Source organism: Homo sapiens, chromosome 5 (assembly GCF_000001405.40).
Source record: "Homo sapiens chromosome 5, GRCh38.p14 Primary Assembly".
Classification (NCBI taxonomy): Eukaryota; Metazoa; Chordata; class Mammalia; order Primates; family Hominidae; genus Homo; species Homo sapiens.
The window spans coordinates 177425523-177444378 of NC_000005.10; the positions used below are offsets into that span (position 1 = coordinate 177425523).

The window sequence follows — 18856 nt, forward strand, 5'->3', positions numbered from 1 at the left end:
CATCTATTTGTTTATTTACAGAATAATTACCTTTATCTCACCCTGCCCTCACTTGCTCCCTCCACTTCTAGCAAGTAAGCAGGGAGCCTGGCTATCTTGCTGCCATCACTGTGTTCTCCAGCACCTGGCTTGGTGCCTGGCACAGAGGTGTTGCTCTGTATTTTCGGATGAATGAATGCATAGGAACTAGAGAAGCCTAGATGGATCCGGCTCTGCCTTACTCGCGGAGTTTGGGCAAGCCTGTTTCCTGCTGCGTGAAGTAGGGGGTGGAGGAAGCGGGGTGTTAAGCTACAAGGTGTTGATTAGCTGTAAGATTTCAGCCTTGTTTTCTCCGTAGTCTTCGGGCTGGAGCCAGCCACTTGACGTCCGGCGCCTCAGCTCCCCACCTGTATAATGGGTGTGAACTCATCCCGAGGTCTAGGGGTGGTAGCGCTGCCTTATAAGGCGGCAGAGGCCGAGGGAAGGCGAGGCCGAGTGGGTGGAGAGAAATCACAACATCCGGCTGCGGGGGCTGGGCGGGGCGCCTGCGGCGACCGGGCAAGAGGTCGGGGAACGGCTGCGAGGCCGCAGCCTCCTCCCTGTCTCTCCCTCTTTCGATGTGCGCCCTCCTGATTGGGGCCGACCCAAGGGAATACGGCCACACAAGTGGACCAAACAAACTCGCTGCCAGCCCGCAGGAGGCCCAGGATACGGAGCGCGTCCCCGACAAAACCCTAGAAAAGCCGTCTGCGAGCCAAAGGCCGCCGGGCCACACCTTCAGGCGACGACCCAATCAAAATGCAGTACTTGAGATGACGGACGTCTTCTTCACCCAATCACATATTCGGCCTCCTGGGCGTGCCCCAGAGTACCCACCTCCATTGTCCCGGCTGAGGGCTCGGCCCTAATTGGCAGTTTGGTATCCTACGAAAGCCTAGAAATTCGAACCTAGGGGCTGAACCCCGCCCTCAGACCAACCAGGAAGAGGTGACGTGATTGGTCCCGCCCCCGTACTTCTTTGAGCGAGTCCCCAGCTGGGGGGGCGGGGGAAAAAATGAAGAGGAAGACTAATGGGAAGACGGCGCGGGGAGCTTCTGCCCGGTGATTGGTCAAATGAGGTAAACAGAGGGCGGGGCAGGGCGGGCCAGCGCCGGGGTGGCCCCCGGGAGGGGGCGGAGAGTGCGCGGCTGGCTGCGGCGGCCGGGGAGGCCGGGGAGGCCGCGGCGCGGTCACTGCGAGCCGAGCCGAGCCGCGCCGAGCCGCGCCGATCGCCATCCGGCCTCGGCACTCGCGCGCGATCCCGGCCGGCGGCGCGGCCCGGCGGGCCAGGCGGCGCCACAGCCCATGGAGCTCGAGAACATCGTAGCGAACACGGTGCTACTCAAGGCCCGGGAAGGTGAGGCGGCCGGGTGGGCGGCCGGGCCCGGGTGCGTGGAGCGCGAGTGCGCTGCGTCTGAGCTCCGCAGGGCTACCCAGCCGTCGGATCCCCTAGGCCCGCGGGCCCTGCGCCTTACACCCCGCCCAGACACGAGCCTTTCCGGCCCGTCGTCTTCCTCCTCCGCACCTGCCCCCGGGATTCGGGGCCCAGGAAGGGGCGGGGGTCAGGCCGCCGCCCTCGCGGCGGGTGGGGGTGAAGGAGTGAAAGAAGGTGAGACGAAGAGGGAAGGGTGGGACCGGAGCCCCAGGAGAGCCTGTCTGAGAGGCAAGCCTCCTCCAGGGGAGAGGTGTAAAGATGCCCCACGTGCCAGGGGCCCAGACCCCAGCACCCTAGCCTAATCCCGCGCAAAGTTGGCGATAGGTAAAGCTGGAGAATGAATAAACGGACCCTCTGCGTAGCACAGCCCACCTGACTTGGGGAAACTCCTGGCCACAAATGCTACTTATAGGACTGCCACTTGCTCCGTGCCTCAGGACACTGAGGGCAGAGGTGAATGGATATTTGCCCTCAGGGAGCCCATGGTCTAGTGGGGCTAGCGGACACAGAAAGAAGTGGGAGCAGAGCATGCTGCTCTGTCAGTATTGTAAGCTCAGAGGTCTGGCTGGGGAAACCAGTCTGGTGGACCGAGTGTGTGTGTAGCTCCTCGTGGCTCCCACCCCAGATGTTATCAGGCACTTGCTCTGTGCAGGTCCTGGGAGACACAGAAGGACCAGATCGGGTCCTCACTGCCTTGTGGTCAGTCTGCCCCCACCTGCCACACTCCACCTCAGTAACATGATCACTGACCACCCACTCTGCCCCACCTTTTCCAGGGTGCTGGGGAAGCAGCAGTAAACAAGACCCATCTTTTTGGAACTCCAGGGCAAGGAGGGAGATTGTGACAGTTTTTCCACCCTTTGCTGGGCTTCCAGGCTTAAAAAGTCATCTGCTTCACCTTTCTACCATATTTTACATGTGGGAAGCTGAGGCTCAAACCAGGGATTAGCATCAGTCACACAGCAAGATTGTGATTGACTCGGGCCTAAGACACAGGATGACCGGCACAGTCTATAGGAAGCCCAGAGGAACTTTCAGCTGGGTGCTACACCTGGCACCCCGTGCCCACCAAGTGCTCTGGCGAGGTGCAGCCCAGAAATGGCATGGCAGGCTGGGTCCTCATTGCCTGGGGAGCCTGTCTTATCCCCTGTCCCTTATCGAGCCCATGGGCTAGGCCTTCCTCCCAGCCTCTGGGGGCATCTGCCGATTCTGTTCTGCCTCGTCATCCAACCAGCCAGGGAGGAGGGGTGGGGAGGGCCGAAACAGGCCTTCTTCCCTAGGGCTGTAGCCAGTTAAGGCCTCAGGCCTGCTGATGGCACTGCCTGGCCGGAGAGTGTGGGTACCTTTGGACAAGCTTTGTCAGGCCATGGGCAAGGCACAGGGTGGTATGGCCAGACTGGGGACTGGTACCTCCACTAGAGAACCCTTACGACAACCTGGCTCTGCCCCTCCCACCTGCATGGCTTTTTTTTGAGACAGAGTCTCACTGTGTCACCCAGGCTGGAGTGCAGGGCTCACTGCAACCTCCGCCTCCTGGGTTCAAGTGACTCTCCTCCCTCAGCCTCCCAAGTAGCTGGGACTACAGGTGCATGCCACCACACCCAGCTAATTTTTGTATTTATAGCACAGATGGGTTTCACCATGTTGGCCTGGCTGGTCTTGAACTCCTGACCTCAAGTGATCCGCCTGCCTCTGGCCTCCCTAATTGCTGGGATTATAGGCATGAGCCACCGCGCCTGGCCGACCTGCATGACTTTAAACATGTCTCTTCTTTCTCAACTTCAGTACCCCTTTTTGTGGAACGGTTGGGGGTGGGACATAAAGACTAAAGGAAACCCTGATTGTCACTGAGTCCTGAGCCCAGGCGCCTGGACGGGCTGCATCAGAACCACCTCATGAACTGGCTTTTCATGAGCTTGAGGCTGGGGCCCCTGACGGCTTCTCAAGTGATCTGAGGCCCCAGGTGGGGTTTGGGAACCCTTGGTGTGTGTATACAGTTGGCACCTAATAGATGCCAGCCATGTTTGGGGTGGGAAAGGAGCTTGGGTTGTGGCCATAGGGAGCTGGGTACGAATCCTGTACCCAGGATTGGTCTCTGGGCTTGGTCATCTTGGGTATACTCTGGGCTTGGTCATCTTGGGTGAATTGATTCCTCACTTCAGAATCTCAGTTTTCATATAAAATTGGGCCTGCTCTGGCAGAGTTGCTGTGAGGATGGAGTGGGACAACGCTGGGGCTTGAGACCTCCCTCAGTACCCCTTCTCTTCCCAGGCACTCAGAGGCATGGGGAGGGGGCCCAGGGACACTGAAAGGGGACAGGGAGGGTGGGGAAGAGCTCCACTGACTGGGCAGCCCAGGACAGGATATTTGCATGTGACTCTTTGCTGCTGCCTTGATGTGGCTGGGAGGGGGGAGGAGGAAGTAACTGAGGGTGGGAGGCTGGCGGATGGAGGGTTGGGTGAGGGACCTGTGGGTGTGGGGGAGGAGTTCCCCTTCTGGGAAGGCCTTGCCCTGGGTTGAGGGGTGGGTGTCTGTTGCTCACTCACAGTGAAGCAATGACTGCAGGGCATGTTCGCAGGAGGCCTCTAGCAAGTTTCTCAATGGGCCCCTGCAGTACTTCCTTCTCCAGGCAGCTTAGGTCGGGGAGTCATCTAGGGACCTAGCCTTGCCCCCTCCCTAGAAGGCAACTTCTGCCCTTGTACCACCTGCCCTCACCCAGGCCAGATGGATACAGGACTAGAAAGCCAGAGGGGAAACTGAGGCCCAGCATGAGAAAGTGGTTGTCTAAGGTTGCCATGGCGTTGTTGGAGTTGGGGTTCACCTCTTGACTCAGCCCTACTTGATGTGGACAGTGTCTCCCATTCACTACGTAACACACATGGAGAAGCTGAGGTTCACAGATAGCGAGTGATGGGCCACAGTGTGAATCAGAGATTCAGACCCAGCTCTGGGAGGCTCAGGCCCCTTCCACCCTCCTCAACCTGGTGGCCCACAGGCCACACACATTTGGCTAGCTCCCTGACACATTTTATTTGGCTGCAGTGAGTTTTTTTTTTTTTTTAAACAAAATGGGGGCCAATATTTTATGTTAGAGTCTGCAATTCCGGCTGCTTTTGAAAAAATCAGAAGAGCTGGCCACATTGAGCCAGAAACCCTCCTAGCAGCAATCAAGCAATCAGCTGGCGTTCTCCTGCAGCTGGCCCTGTCAGAGAGGCCTTCGCTGTTCCTGGTCATCTCACATCTGGCCCACGTTTCCCACACCTGTTGGGCTCTGCAGGCAATCGAACTGCTGCTGTGACCTCAGCTGCTGCAGATGGGGTGTCTGCGAGGTCAAGCAAGACAGGCAGGGGACCGGGGAAGCCCCAGTGTGCAGGGGACGGGGAGTCCTGGGTGCCAGCCCCCTTGCCCCTGCCTCATTTGAGCGTCTGATATCTCTGATGTGGGGCCTGGTGATAGAGGCCTGGGAGCCTCCTTGTCCCCATGCTGCCCTGTGCGTCTCTCAGGCCTGCCCCACTGGCCTAGAATCTCTCCCTCCCGGGCCTTCTGCACTTCTCAGCACTGTGACGTCCTTCTCCCCTTTCTTCACCGGGGGAACTCCTACCTGGCGGGAAGCAACTGGGGCTGGACCCATTGTTGGAGCTACTTGGAACACTGTCCTCCCGCAGCGACCTCACTGCCTCTCTTGGCTCTCCCAGTGCAGGAGCCTGAAGCAGGAGAAGCACGTGTGTCCTGGAACGCAGCAAGGGCGTGCTGGAGCGTGCAGAGGGAAGGCCTGAGGTGCTGTTCTGCCTCAGCTCTGCCTTGGCTGGGCCCTAGAGGCCGTGGACCGCACTGAGGACCCAGAGGCAGTTCTGAGGCAGTGGGACTCGAGACCCAGTGTCCTATTGCTCCCACAGGTGGCGGTGGAAATCGCAAAGGCAAAAGCAAGAAATGGCGGCAGATGCTCCAGTTCCCTCACATCAGCCAGTGCGAAGAGCTGCGGCTCAGCCTCGGTGAGGCCTGGGCAGAGACTGGGGGTGCTGAGGCGAGGGGCCCTGCTGGGGCCGGGGGAGCCTCCCCTGAGACCTTGCCCCGGAGCAGAGGGGCAGACTTGGGGGCTCCAGTGAGCAGGAGGATGAGGACTGCACCATTCAGCCCAGTTTCAGTTCCTGGGCTTGGGACGGGTGGAGAGCAGACAGCAAACAGGGTCACACCGAGGGTGGTTGAAGCGGGTGTCGGGAATAGGGCAGGGGCAGATTGGGGCAGTTGATTCCACTTTGAAAAGGAGAGCCAGCTAGGGTGAGCAGGGCCCACAGGACAGAGGGAGCAGCAGCTGGGCCAGCCCACAGACTGACTGCCTTGGGACCCCCAGGCTGGGGCGTAGCCTCCCAGGCCCAGCCCTGAGGGGTGCCCAGCAAATCCTTGACCAGAAGCCCTCAGCCTGGGCAGTGTGACAGGGTTACTCCTGGGAGGGGACAGAAGGGCCCAGGACCCCAGTTCCTGCCAATCTTGGCCAAGGCCCCAGGTCTGAGCAGCACCCAAGGTTGCTGAGGCCCCCGGTGGCCTGCACGTGCGCAGAGCACACCCGGGCTGCTTCCACCTCCTGGGAAGGAGGCCCAGCTGAGAGCCTGCCGGAAGCCACAGCTTCCTCTCGCACTTTCGCCAGGCAGGCAGCAGGTGTGGGCCTGGCCCCGGCTGGGCTGGGCCGGAACCTCACGGACCGCACCCAACCCCAGTACCGTGACATACGCAAGTCGTGTAAATCAGGAGACAATGCAGGGAGGTGGATGGAGGCCTGGGCTCTGGAGCCAGACTCCCGGCTGTGTGACACTGAGCTAGTCAGTTAGCCTCTCTGGGCCTCACAGCCCCAAAACAGCTGTGCCCACCTGAGGGTTGTGGTGAGGGTTCTGAAGAAGATTGTGGCTACCACACTGCAGAGCTGGAAGCTGTTGTGGGGGCCCAGGGCCTGGTGGTGTGGGCACATGCCCCACCCATGTGCTCTCGGGCTGTGGACCCAGCAGCTTCCATCACTGCCAACAGAGCGTGACTATCACAGCCTGTGCGAGCGGCAGCCCATTGGGCGCCTGCTGTTCCGAGAGTTCTGTGCCACGAGGCCGGAGCTGAGCCGCTGCGTCGCCTTCCTGGATGGGGTGGTGAGTGCAGCCCAGCCCTGCCCAGCCCCGCGGGTGGCCGAGGTCCTGGCCCCATGTGCCCCTCCTCCCCACACCTGCTGCTTGCCCTGCCCAGACCTCCAGCTTCTTTGCTTTCCACCCTGCAGGCCGAGTATGAAGTGACCCCGGATGACAAGCGGAAGGCATGTGGGCGGCAGCTAACGCAGAATTTTCTGAGCCACACGGTGAGTGAGCAGCGATGGAGAGATGATGGGAGCCACCAGAGCCCCGTGTCAGGCACAGGAGTGACCACAGTGTCAGGCTTCTGAGGGTGGTCTCTTCATACAGACACATGTAACACACAGCCTGGACAGAGAGTGCCCTGGAGCTGCTCCAGGCAGCACGGCGGGCATGCAGCCCAGGGTATGGGCTGGGCTTGGGCCAGGCGGCCTCCCAGTGGCTCTGCTGCGCTCTGCCTCATGGGTGGGCAGCAGGAAGGACTTCAGCAACCAGGCTGGCTGGCACACCCTGGCCTGCAGCCTCTCATGGCACCAGCCCGAGTTGCCTGACCCCTCTCCCCTGGAAGTGGGCAGCCATCCAAGGGAGCCCCTGCACTGACCTGTCTGGGGCTTGTTCCCAGGGTCCTGACCTCATCCCTGAGGTCCCCCGGCAGCTGGTGACGAACTGCACCCAGCGGCTGGAGCAGGGTCCCTGCAAAGACCTTTTCCAGGAACTCACCCGGTAAGCCTGTCCCTGCCCACAAGCCTGGAATTATGCCCAGCGGAGGGGGCTTCTGGGGGCCAGGAAGACTGTGAACAGCTCGGTGGCTGGTGAGGGAGCTCAGCTGCCCAGCCCTGGCCTTGCCCCTGCTGTGTGACCTGAGCAGGCTGCCTCCCCTCTCAGTAGCACCCACAGCTTCAGCACAGGCTGTGTGTCTCCCCGCTCAGGGGTTAGCAGGAGGACTGGCCGACGACGATACCTGTGGGCTAAGCCTGTACAGAACGGGAGGCCTGGCCCAGCAAGCCAAGAGCCTGAGGTGTCAGGGGCTGGCGGGTGAGCTGGGCCTGCCTTTCCTCAACAGGCTGACCCACGAGTACCTGAGCGTGGCCCCTTTTGCCGACTACCTCGACAGCATCTACTTCAACCGTTTCCTGCAGTGGAAGTGGCTGGAAAGGTGAGCTCCCTGAAGGCTGGGCCGGGACAGGCCAGGTCGCCGGGGTTCTTCATAGGCCTTGGGCTCTCCTGCTCAGCCAGCGTTTGCTTCCCCACCCCTTGCCACAGGCAGCCAGTGACCAAAAACACCTTCAGGCAATACCGAGTCCTGGGCAAAGGTGGCTTTGGGGAGGTGAGTGGCCAGGCCAGAGCCCCTGGGAGAGTGAATAGGGTGGGTGTGTTGGGACCTGGACCACCCCCTGGATGCCCAGCAATGGCACAGCTGGCCCCCATTCGCCCCTGTCTGTCTGGCCACAGGTGTGCGCCTGCCAGGTGCGGGCCACAGGTAAGATGTATGCCTGCAAGAAGCTAGAGAAAAAGCGGATCAAGAAGCGGAAAGGGGAGGCCATGGCGCTGAACGAGAAGCAGATCCTGGAGAAAGTGAACAGTAGGTTTGTAGTAAGTACAGAAGGAGACTCTCCCTTCCCCTTGGCCACACTGGCGCACCGACCGTCCCCACCCCCCAGGCCCCACCCTCCCATGTGGGATGCCAGGAAGGGCGGGTTTGGGGTGTTGACACCAGGCTTGGGGAGCAGGCTGGGCCCAAGGAGTGGCACCGAGAAGGCTTTTTTGGGCAGCCCTGCCGCCAAGCGCCCCGCAGCTCCTGCCTGAGGGCTCGGGTCCCCTCGGCCACAGGTGAGCTTGGCCTACGCCTATGAGACCAAGGACGCGCTGTGCCTGGTGCTGACACTGATGAACGGGGGCGACCTCAAGTTCCACATCTACCACATGGGCCAGGCTGGCTTCCCCGAAGCGCGGGCCGTCTTCTACGCCGCCGAGATCTGCTGTGGCCTGGAGGACCTGCACCGGGAGCGCATCGTGTACAGGTGGGGAGGGCTCGGCCACCCCAGGGGCTTAGTCCTTCCCTGCCAGCGACTGCAGCTGGGCCTGGACGGGGGTGGCCAAGGCTGCCGATCAGGCCAGACTACAGAAGGACATTGGTTTGGGGGCTGTGGCACCGGCTTAACTCACACGCCAGGCCAACCTGAGTAGCCCAGACCTAGGCTTTGGGCTCTGCTGGACCCACGGGGTATCCTGACTTTGTCACCCCTCCACCCCCCACCGTGTGACCTTGGGCCAGGAGCTCCCTGCTCCCAACACTGCTTCCTTTTCTAGGAAGCAGAGACTATAATTCCTACTTCCCAGGTTGTTAGAAGTAGGCCCAACTTCCTACTGGAGGGGCCCAGTGAGCTAAGTACAGAGTGCCTGGCACATGGGGCTGGGTAAGAGAGAACCCTGGCTCTGATTGTTGCCGACTTCCTGTGAACCTCACAACAGCCTAGTCAGGGGACGGATGAGTAGTCCCATTTGATAGAGAGGAAAGGCAGAGTCAGTCACCAAGGGGTGGAGACTCCTTGGTCTCCACTGGGGAGGCCCCTCCGGGGTGGAGCTGTCTTCCACTCATCTAGAGAGTCCTGGGAGTCCTGGCTCTAGATCCTTCCTCTGCTCCCTTGAGTCCGGGCTGTTGCCAGGGAGAGCAGGGCTGTCTGTCGCCCTGGCAGCAAATGAGTCTCGCACCTTGCTCCACACCTGGCCCCCGGAGGCGAGTGAGCTGGGGGGGCTGGCCCCTTCTGACTCCCTGGCAAACTGAGCAGCATCTGACCCTGCTCTTCTCTCTGCACAGGGACCTGAAGCCCGAGAACATCTTGCTGGATGACCACGGTGTGTAAGGGTGCCTGGGGTGGGTCAGGGTGGGGTGAGATGCAGAGGCCTGGCCTGTTAACGGGTCCACCTGTTTCTCCACCCACACTCAGGCCACATCCGCATCTCTGACCTGGGACTAGCTGTGCATGTGCCCGAGGGCCAGACCATCAAAGGGCGTGTGGGCACCGTGGGTTACATGGGTGAGTCTTCTCTGCCCGGCCCACTAGCCTCCTGGGTTCCCTCACTATCCACCCACCCAGCCACACCCACTTCTGTCTGGGAGTCTTCTCTCAAAAGGGGCCTCAGTAGAAAGGGCCCATGCCGATGCTCCTCTTCTAGAGGTTAGGAGACCAAGACTCAGCCGGGGCCGCACACAGTTGTGAAGCCATGTCGTTCATTTGCTGAATACTTATTAAACCCTGCTATGGCTGAGCCTGCAGGTGGCTACCGGGGGATGGAGGAGAGAGACCCAAACCTGTTTCCGTGGCCCCAGTCCCTGCCCTCCCTGTGCCCATCTGTGAGGGAGGCCAGTGGAGGGGCCAACATGAGGCCCCACATTCCACCTGGAGACCGAGAGACGCAGGAGGCAGAGTCCTGGCTCTGCAGGCTCCGCCTCTTGCCGGTTGCGTGGCCTTGAACCAGACACTCCGCTGCTCCCGGCCTCACTCTGCTCCACTGGAAAACACTCATCATACCTGCCTCCCAGGGCTGCCTGGAAGATGAAAAGGGAGAGTTCAGGGAAAACTCCCCACAGGGCTGCCCTGGCAGGTAGGAGGTATTCAGAAAATAGGAGTTTCCTTCTTCTCGCTGATATTAAATCCAGAAGTTGCAAAATGGTAGCCACATGGGCCCAATTTGGCCTACATTTGTGTTTAAGTCAAACTGTTTTTAGTAAGCCAGATGGTTTCACATACAAAATACAGATTTCTGACTTCTTGTGTAAAATCTGAAGACCCGGGGACCCTGGGCGCGGCCTCCTGCAGGGCCGTATTCACCCCGCTTGATGGGGCCTGTGCTCTCCTACTGGCCAAGGTCCCCCCTGGCCAGCGGGTGTGAGTGTATCCCAGACCTAACGTGCACTGGCGTTCCTGGGGCCTGAGGGTCCACTGCCCGCCTCCTGCCCAGCCCTAACTCCCATGCCGCCCGCCCAGCTCCGGAGGTGGTGAAGAATGAACGGTACACGTTCAGCCCTGACTGGTGGGCGCTCGGCTGCCTCCTGTACGAGATGATCGCAGGCCAGTCGCCCTTCCAGCAGAGGAAGAAGAAGATCAAGCGGGAGGAGGTGGAGCGGCTGGTGAAGGAGGTCCCCGAGGAGTATTCCGAGCGCTTTTCCCCGCAGGCCCGCTCACTTTGCTCACAGGTACGGCAGCTCACAGAAGCCTGGCCAGCCAGGGCTGGGGTGGATGCACCTTTCCCTCCCTCCCACCCACTCACCTGCCTGGCCTGCCTGGCCGACTCACCCCTGCCACAGCTCCTCTGCAAGGACCCTGCCGAACGCCTGGGGTGTCGTGGGGGCAGTGCCCGCGAGGTGAAGGAGCACCCCCTCTTTAAGAAGCTGAACTTCAAGCGGCTGGGAGCTGGCATGCTGGAGCCGCCGTTCAAGCCTGACGTGAGTGCAGCCCACTCCTGCTGAGGGCGGGGCCCAGCCAGGGCTGGGGCTCAGGGGCTCTTGTAGTATCAGCCAGGATGCTTCCAGTGCAAGTGGCAGAAAAAACAATCTAGTGGCTTAGCCACAGAAATAAAGATAATTCACAAAAAGGAAAAGCCCCAGGATGGGTCTGGCTTGTGGCATGCCTGGATGGGGCTTGGAGCCTCTGACAATGTCCTAGGAACTCTCTCTCCTTCCCCTCACTGTACCGTTGAGTGTGTAGTCTTCATATTGGGGTAGCTCTCCCCATGGTGCGGCAGCAGTGGGCCCCAGCAGCTCAGCCACCACAGTAGACAGAGAGCTTCTCTTCTCTTTTCTCTTCTCCTCTCCTCTCCTTCCTTCCTTCGTTCTTTTTTCCCTTCTTTTTTCCTTTCTTTCCTTTCTTCCTTTTCTTTTCTTTTTGGAGACAGGGTCTTGCTCTGTCCCCGAGGCTGGAGTGCAGTGGTGAGATCTTGGCTCCCTGCAACCTCTGCCTCCCAGGTTCAAGCGATTCTCCTGCCTCAGCCTCCTGAGTAGCTGGGATTACAGGCGCCCACCACCATGCCCGGCTAATTTTTGTATTTTTAGTAGAGATGAGGTTTCACCATGTTGGCCAGGCTGGTCTTGAAATCCTGACCTCAGGTGATCCTCTTGCCTCGGCCTCCCAAAGTGCTGGGATTACAGGAGTGAGCCATCGCGCCTGCCCTTGCCCAATAATTTCAAAAGAAATCCTCATGGGGGAAAAGAAGTCCCAAAGCTGATGCCCATTGCCTCTCATTGCTCAGAGGCCCCTCACTGGCCACACCCAGATCATACACCCACCCGAACCTGCACCAATGGGGGAGCTCAGTTCCCCAGAGGAAAACTACAATGCAATTGCCAGCAGTGGGAGGGGCTGTTGGGCTGGCCATCCTTCTGTGGGTGGTCACTTTTCCTTATGGAGTCTCACCTGTTAACTGAGCATCTCAGTGGGCCAGGCACCCAGCAGGCAAGAGTATCCTCTAGTTGTCAGAGTCCGGGTGGCAGAAAACCAACCTAAACTCACTTAAGCTCACCGTGGAGTGTATTGGTTCATTTGGCCAGAAAGTCCCAAAGTAGGGCCAGCTCCAGGGTTTCCTGCTGTGTGCCACGATTCTCCAGCTCTTGCCTGGCCTTCAACCTGTTGACTCTTTCCCTCCCCCTGAATTAGGCTTCTCTGTGTGACAGTCATAGGGAAGGTTCTGATTGGCTAAGATGAGGTCATGTGCTTTCCCCTTCCCATGTCTATGAGGACTGGTCCTGTAATTAACGGTTCACCAGGAACACTGGAGAGGCCCGAAGGATGGGCAGGGCAGGCCAGGTTGATAGCTGTCAATGACACACACGTTTATTGATTCAGCAAATAGCTGAGTGCCCATTTATGCCAGACCCTGGAGATAATGAGGCCCACTGGAGCCAGTCCTGCCCTTACATTCTAGTGGGAGACACACCCAAACAAACCCGTAAGCCAGAAGGAATTCCAGGTAATGTTAAGTGTGACAAAGAAAACTAAAGCAAGCGGCTGGGTGCGGTGGCTCACGCTGTAATCCCAGCACTTTGGGAGGCTGAGGCAGGCGGATCACCTGAGGTTGGGAGTTCGAAGACCAGCCTGACCAACATGGAGAAACCCCATCTCTACTAAAAATACAAAATTAGCTGGGCATGGTGGCGCATGCCTGTAATCCCAGCTACTCGGCAGACTGAGGCAGGAGAATCGCTTGAACCCAAGAGGAGGAGGTTGCGGTGAGTTGAGATCGCGCATTGCACTCCAGCCTGGGCAACAAGAGTGAAACTTCATCTCAAAAAAAAAAGAAAACTAAAGCAAGCTACGAAGATGGCAGAGAATGATGGTGGGGGGAGCGCTTTTAGACACCGTGGTCTCTGGGGAGGTGATGCTGGTGCAGAAATGTAAAATATGTGAAGCGGAGAGCCATGCCAAGGTTTGGGGTGTGAGCATTCCAGGCAGAAGAAACAGCCGGGTATTGCAGTCCTGAGGCAGGGGCCAGCCCTGTGAGGTGGAGCAGCCGCGAGGACACCTGTGTGGCTGAGTGAGCCCGTGCAGGCAAAGAGGAGTGCCGGCAGGTTCTCAGCAAGATGGGACCGCTGGGGGACCCTGGGCAGGAATGTGAGGTGTGGGGAGTGGGCCATAGTGGGTGTGAGTGGAAGTGGGGAGGCCAGTGAGGGGGCTACTGCCCTGAGTGACTGCCTCACATGGGCCTCACTGGAACCGCTGGCCAGGCTGGTCTCGAACTCCTGACCTCAAGTAATCTGCTCGCCTTGGCCTCCATACCTCTTGGTCTATACCTAGAAGTAGAATTACCAGGTCATATGGTAACTATGTTTAACCTTTTGGGGAACTGCCAGACTGTTTTCCAAAGCAAAGGTGGGCCCTGTCAGAGGCACTTACTTGAACTAAGAGAGCCTGACTTTCATCAGCTCGCCCCTGAGGCTGGCACTGCCACTCAGTCTGTTCTGTTTCCTGTGTACATCATCTCATTTAACCTTGAAATAACTACACTGCCTCTGGATCTTCCATTCAAAGTCGGAGATAAAATCAGTGCCCTGGAGTTTAACTTTGTGGAAGCAGTAGATGAAAAAGCAAGCTTGATGATATTTTTTTAACAGCTCTATTGAGTTTAATTTATATGATTTATATACCATACAATTCACCCATTTAAAGTGTACAATTCGGCTGGGCGTGGTGGCTCATGCCTGTAATCCCAGCACTTTGGGAGGCCAAGGTGAGTGGATCACCTGAGGTCAGGAGTTCAAGACCAGCCTGGCCAACAAGGTGAAACCCCCGTCTCTACTAAAAATACAAAAATTAGCTGGACGTGGTGGCGCATGCCGGTAATCTCACCTACTTGGGAGGCTGAGGCAGGAGAATCGCTTGAACCTAGGAGGCGGAGGTTGCAGTGAGCTGAGATCACACCATTGCACTCCAGGCTGGGCAACAAGAGCAAAACTCCCATCTCAAAAAAAAAAAAAAAAAGTGCAATTCATTGGCTTTTTAATTATGCAGTCAGCACCACGATAAATTCTTGAGTGTGTTCATTACCTGCCCCACTCTGCAAAAAAAAAAAAAACCCATACCCTTAGCAGCCATTCCCCATGCTTCCCTCCCGCTGCTCCTAGCAATCACCAGTCTACTCTGTGTCTCTCTCTGTTTGCCTACTCTGGACATGTCATAGCTATGGCATCACATAGTATGTGATCCTCTGTGCCTGGCTTCTTTCACTTAGCATAGTATCTTCAAGGTTCATCCATGTTGTAGCATAGATCAGTGCTTCATACCTTTTTAAGGCTGAATAATATTCCATTGCATGGATAGACCACATTTTCCTTACCTGTTCGTCAGTTGGTAGACATTAAGATTGTTCCCACTTTTTGGCTGTTATTGCTGCTGTGAACATTCCTGTACAAGTTTTTGTGTGTGCAGATGCCGCCATTTCTCTTGGTCTATACCTAGGAGTAGAATTACTAGGTCATATGGTAATGATGTTTAAGCTTTTGGGGAACTGCCAGACTGTTTTCCAAAGCAGCTGTACCATTTTACATGACAATGATTTTAATTGACATCTTAATTGAAGGATTTAGAAAACAATGTTAAGATAAAAAAAGAAGGTGGCCGCCTGGAGCTGAGGTGGGCTCCCAGTGTGGGTCTGGGGAGGTGGAGCAGTGGGAGACCGTGCCAGTCCTCTGATTGGCTGGGAGAGAAGACGGCAAGTCCCAGGTCATCGCAGGGCGGGGAGCCAGGGAGTCACCAGCTCCAGGCTCTGCGTGGTGGTGCCCAGCGGAGGGGCCGGCTGAGATTCAGCCTGTACTCCCCGCCCCAACTGCATACCCAGGAAGCTGTGGGCAGGCGAAGGAGGTGCCTGGCATTGGCCTTTACACAGCCTCACAGTCATTGAGCAGTGAGGAATAACGTACGCAGTTCACAGAGGGGAAAACCAGGCTTCGGAGAGAAGGGCCTGCCCCACTTAGGAAGTGCGTGGGGCACCTGGTTTCTCCAAATCAGAGAGCTGCTGGTGTCAGGCAGCACTAGGCCAAGACCCGAGGCAGAATCAGGGCTGAGCTGCCTTCGCGTGTGCGTGTGTGTGTTTCCTATCTGACCGTTGCCTCTGTCCCACCAGCCCCAGGCCATTTACTGCAAGGATGTTCTGGACATTGAACAGTTCTCTACGGTCAAGGGCGTGGAGCTGGAGCCTACCGACCAGGACTTCTACCAGAAGTTTGCCACAGGCAGTGTGCCCATCCCCTGGCAGAACGAGGTGGGGGCCTGCCCTGCTGGTGGGGTGGGCTCCAGGAGGCTGCCCTGGGGACAGCTGTCACAGCCGCCTGCTCCTCAGCAGATGGTGGAGACCGAGTGCTTCCAAGAGCTGAATGTCTTTGGGCTGGATGGCTCAGTTCCCCCAGACCTGGACTGGAAGGGCCAGCCACCTGCACCTCCTAAAAAGGGACTGCTGCAGAGACTCTTCAGTCGCCAAGTAAGCCCCAGCAGCGGCCTACCTGGGCCCCTAACCTGGCTCCAGGGGACGGTGGGTGGGAGGCAGAGCCGGTGCCCGCATGCGCTGGGAGTGGGCGTCCTCCAGTCCTGTTGTGGTGCCCAGGGTCTCTGGCCTCATTCCCGCCTGTCCCCCACCCCTGGCTGGGCTCATGGCCTCTTTTCTCTTTCCAGAGGTGAGCAGTGTGGGCTCCCCGTGGGTTGGCCTTGCTGCCTGGCCTCGGGGAGCCACGGGCAGCCCTTCCATGGCAAAGGCAAGATGTGGGAGAAAGAAGTCTGGTGCCCGCCCCACTCCCCCTGCCCACTGCTTTGATCCCCTGCACCCTGGCCCCTTCGAGCTGCCAGCTTTGCTTCGCTTGTCTCCCCGTGCCCTGTCTCTGCCAGCCCCAGGGGAGAGGGCTGGGCAGAGGCCTTGCCCTGGCAGACCGTGGGATCTACCCAGCCCCCTTACTTCAGTCTGTTGCCGGCAGCCTCTGCAATGACGCCCACCCACGTGTGGCCTGAGCTGCTGCTCCAGGCTCCTTGTGGAGAGGCCCCTCCCCAGAGTGCACCCCTCAGGCAGCTCCTGGCCTGCCCTGGCAGGGTCGGCCCCATGTGACGTCCCTCGTGGTTAATGGCACCTGCTCTGCCTCTCTCCCTCCCTCCGTGTCTTCCCCGTCCCTCCAGGATTGCTGTGGAAACTGCAGCGACAGCGAGGAAGAGCTCCCCACCCGCCTCTAGCCCCCAGCCCGAGGCCCCCACCAGCAGTTGGCGGTAGCAGCTACTCCGAGCGCCGTTTACAGTTTTGCACAGTGATCTTCCCCATTGTCCACTCAAGTCGTGGCCTGGGGAACACAGACGGAGCTGTCCCCAGTGTCCTCCGTCCCTCAGCCCCTGGCCTGGCTGAGTTTGGCAGGGCCTGGGCCATCCCTGGGACAAAGGTGCGTCCCTTCAGCTCTTCTCCGTGGAGCTCGGGGCTTTCTGTATTTATGTATTTGTACGAATGTATATAGCGACCAGAGCATTCTTAATTCCCGCCGCAGACCTGGCGCCCCCGCCTTGGCTCCTGGGGGCAGCCAGCCCTGGCTGGGAGAGCGGGAGCTGGCAGAGGAGCCACTGCCAAACTCAAGGCTCCTCTGGCCCAGCTTGGATGGCTGAGGGTGGTCACACCCCTGAGCCTTCAGCACTGTGCTGGCCACCCCGGCCTCTGAGTAAGACTCGTGCCTCCCCCTGCTGCCCTGGGCTCAGGCTGCTACCCTCTGGGGCCCAAAGCTGTCCCTTCTCAGTGCTTGTCAGCGCTGGGTCTGGGGCCTCTGTATGCCCTAGGCCTGTGCCAAAGTGGCCAGAGATTGGGCTGCCTGTGATACCCATCAGCCCACTGCCCCGGCCGGCCCAGATAGGTCTGCCTCTGCCTTCCAGCTCCCACAGCCTGGTCCCTGATACTGGGCTCTGTCCTGCAGACACCTCTTTCAGAAACGCCCAAGCCCAGCCCCTAGGAGGGGGTGGGGCATCCCTGGTCAACCCTCAAACATTCCGGACTCCCCTCATAACAATAGACACATGTGCCCAGCAATAATCCGCCCCTTCCTGTGTGCGCCTGTGGGGTGCGTGCGCGCGCGTGTGTACCTGTGTGGGTGAAGGGGATAGGGCGAGGCTGTGCCTGTGCCCCAGGTCCCAGCCCTGGCCCTTCCCAGACTGTGATGGCCATCCTGGTCCCAGTGTTAGGGTAGCATGGGATTACAGGGCCCTGTTTTTTCCATATTTAAAGCCAATTTTTATTACTCGTTTTGTCCAACGTAAGCTGCCACATGTCTCTGTGTGAATAGTCCGAGCACAAACCTGGCTAGCCGCCCCTGCCTGCCTCTTTCTTGCTTCCGGTGCTCCAGGGGTCTTCCTGCTCCCCTGGCCCAGCTGGAAGCGGGAAGGGATTGGAGGTGGGCCTGGAGGGAAGCAGGGTGTGCCCTTCCGAGGCCCAGGAGCCCCCAGGGCTGACTCTGAACTAGCCTCTCCAGACAGCCAGGCTTTGGTAGCCTTTGGGCTCACCCAGTGGGTTTCCCAACTTCCTAAATGGGATGGGGCCTAAGGAAAGAAGCCTTGGGTACCCACTGGGATGTGGGTCTGTTTCTGACTGCTGGTAAGGCGGGCCCCGTTGGTGTCCTCCCCTCCAAGGCTAAGGTGGCCTGGCTGCCTAAATGTGGACGTAAGAGTAGGGTGGGAGCTGTGTAAGGAATGTCTGCCCCAGGCCTGCGTTACCTGGACGCCAGCCATGTACGGGCCCCGGGCTGAGGCACGTGCATCATATCCACCCCTCTGTTTTGCCCTTGACACATTATGGGCAAAGACCTAGACAGTGGGTGACGCTGGCAGATAGGCTGTGGCCAGTGTGGGAGAGTTCTCTGAAGACGGTGGTTGAGCCGGCCTCGAAGTGGACATTCACCTGGGAGGAAGGGGGACTGGGAGGCACTCAAGGGGAGCTTCCTGCCTGGGCTCTGGGGCTGAGAGCTTGTTGCCTACCAGTCTGTCCCAGATCTGGCAACCCCATCACTGCTCTATAGACTCCCAGTGTCCCCAGCTCCCTGAGAATGCCCCGTAAGCCCCATCAAGCTTGTTCCTGGCCTCTGGACTGGGCACCCAGTGCTGCAGGAGCCATGTGAGCTTTGTAGCTGACAGTTCCAGGTTCAAGCCCCAGCCTGGCCACTTTTCAAGTTGGCCCTGCACAGGCGCTTCCCTGATATGGAAAGGTAGGTGTAAGACCCATCACCTTTCTGGGCAGCTGTGAGAATCCACCAAAGCAGCCAGCCAGCCCCTTGAGTTCCCAAGCCACCGCAGGACTCCCACCTGCTGGGGAGTGGTGCTGAGTACCAAACTAACCACCTGGCTTAAGCACAGCCAGAAGGTGCCAAGCCAGCAGCCTGGCAGAAGGGGCCTTTTGTGGCCCCACTCATGACATGTGGAGTGCCTGCTGCTTCCCACCAACCTAAGGGAAGTAAGGGGAGTGGGGACCTGCTCAAGGTCTTCCAACTGGTTAAGTGGCCATTGCAGGGTGGGGAGGAAACCAGGTAATGATGGGAAAGCTGGATCCTACCCATGTATCATGAGAAAGGAGCCTGGGGTGGGTTTGCCCCTCTGCCCCAGGCTGTTATGAGGTGGGAGTGGGGGATTTTTAGGTAGGTGTTAGCATGTCATACCAAAGCCCAGCCCTGGGCAGGTATGCAAGAGAGCGCGTGCCAGGTGGATGTGCAGGACCCTGAGGCACTCTGCCTGCACCTGGATCAGGACACCCTGGCCAGCTCCCCCTTGGGCTAGGGAGGCATCCAGGGAACTTCTTG

At 58.8% G+C, this 18856-nt stretch overlaps 1 protein-coding gene and 1 long non-coding RNA gene across 10 annotated transcripts in view, besides 7 other annotated features; one reads left to right on the top strand and one right to left on the bottom strand.

The window, feature by feature from the left end:
- On the top strand, positions 1 to 17369 carry GRK6 (G protein-coupled receptor kinase 6). 8 transcript variants are annotated; one of them, NM_002082.4, is made up of 17 exons: positions 1154 to 1375; positions 5350 to 5445; positions 6473 to 6585; positions 6711 to 6788; positions 7184 to 7284; positions 7625 to 7717; positions 7825 to 7888; positions 8014 to 8154; positions 8392 to 8582; positions 9380 to 9417; positions 9510 to 9599; positions 10551 to 10759; positions 10871 to 11008; positions 15178 to 15315; positions 15397 to 15531; positions 15723 to 15724; positions 16215 to 17100. In NM_002082.4, the coding sequence occupies exons 1-17, from the start codon at positions 1324 to 1326 to the stop codon at positions 16303 to 16305; spliced, it is 1770 nt and encodes a 589-aa protein (NP_002073.2). In that variant the 5' UTR covers positions 1154 to 1323; the 3' UTR covers positions 16306 to 17100. The 8 variants fall into 8 exon arrangements, with proteins under 8 accessions (XP_047273082.1, XP_006714922.1, NP_002073.2 ...); XM_006714859.3 differs by lacking the exons at positions 1154 to 1375; positions 15723 to 15724 and adding an exon at positions 1035 to 1097 and having other exon boundaries at positions 16213 to 17100; NM_001004106.3 differs by lacking the exon at positions 15723 to 15724 and having other exon boundaries at positions 16215 to 17369.
- Positions 238 to 407: an enhancer, noted in NCBI's record as "active region_23717". NCBI's record gives its function as "activates an Ori minimal core promoter by ATAC-STARR-seq in GM12878 lymphoblastoid cells {active_cell/tissue: GM12878}" and the evidence as "EXISTENCE:reporter gene assay evidence [ECO:0000049][PMID:35858748]".
- Positions 828 to 1367: an enhancer, noted in NCBI's record as "H3K27ac-H3K4me1 hESC enhancer chr5:176853351-176853890 (GRCh37/hg19 assembly coordinates)". NCBI's record gives its function as "activates a minimal SCP1, AML or CMV promoter by ChIP-STARR-seq in naive H9 embryonic stem cells {active_cell/tissue: H9 hESC(naive)}" and the evidence as "EXISTENCE:reporter gene assay evidence [ECO:0000049][PMID:30033119]".
- Positions 828 to 1727: a biological region, named in NCBI's record as "H3K27ac-H3K4me1 hESC enhancer GRCh37_chr5:176853351-176853890".
- Positions 1078 to 1727: a silencer, noted in NCBI's record as "silent region_16686". NCBI's record gives its function as "represses an Ori minimal core promoter by ATAC-STARR-seq in GM12878 lymphoblastoid cells {active_cell/tissue: GM12878}" and the evidence as "EXISTENCE:reporter gene assay evidence [ECO:0000049][PMID:35858748]".
- Positions 6128 to 6347: an enhancer, noted in NCBI's record as "active region_23718". NCBI's record gives its function as "activates an Ori minimal core promoter by ATAC-STARR-seq in GM12878 lymphoblastoid cells {active_cell/tissue: GM12878}" and the evidence as "EXISTENCE:reporter gene assay evidence [ECO:0000049][PMID:35858748]".
- Positions 6838 to 6957: an enhancer, noted in NCBI's record as "active region_23719". NCBI's record gives its function as "activates an Ori minimal core promoter by ATAC-STARR-seq in GM12878 lymphoblastoid cells {active_cell/tissue: GM12878}" and the evidence as "EXISTENCE:reporter gene assay evidence [ECO:0000049][PMID:35858748]".
- Positions 12367 to 18856, bottom strand: part of PRR7-AS1 (PRR7 antisense RNA 1) — a 10056-nt gene continuing 3566 nt past the window's right edge. For both annotated transcript variants that reach the window (NR_038916.1, NR_038915.1), the window contains 2 exons: positions 14392 to 14509; positions 12367 to 13348 (listed from right to left, as the gene is read on the bottom strand). This is a non-coding gene — a long non-coding RNA (PRR7 antisense RNA 1). The remainder of the gene's footprint in view (positions 13349 to 14391; positions 14510 to 18856) is intronic.
- Positions 15116 to 15812: an enhancer, noted in NCBI's record as "H3K27ac-H3K4me1 hESC enhancer chr5:176867639-176868335 (GRCh37/hg19 assembly coordinates)". NCBI's record gives its function as "activates a minimal SCP1, AML or CMV promoter by ChIP-STARR-seq in naive H9 embryonic stem cells {active_cell/tissue: H9 hESC(naive)}" and the evidence as "EXISTENCE:reporter gene assay evidence [ECO:0000049][PMID:30033119]".

What these genes read in the sequence shown, in the direction of transcription:
- GRK6 (NM_002082.4), top strand. Translation starts at nt 1,324, where the DNA reads ATGGAGCTCGAGAACATCGTAGCGAACACGGTGCTACTCAAGGCCCGG. An exon ending in CAGTGGAAGTGGCTGGAAAG is followed by an intron (nt 7,718 to 7,824) that starts GTGAGCTCCCTG and finishes CCCTTGCCACAG; the next exon opens with GCAGCCAGTGACCAAAAACA. An exon ending in AGCCGCCGTTCAAGCCTGAC is followed by an intron (nt 11,009 to 15,177) that starts GTGAGTGCAGCC and finishes CTGTCCCACCAG; the next exon opens with CCCCAGGCCATTTACTGCAA.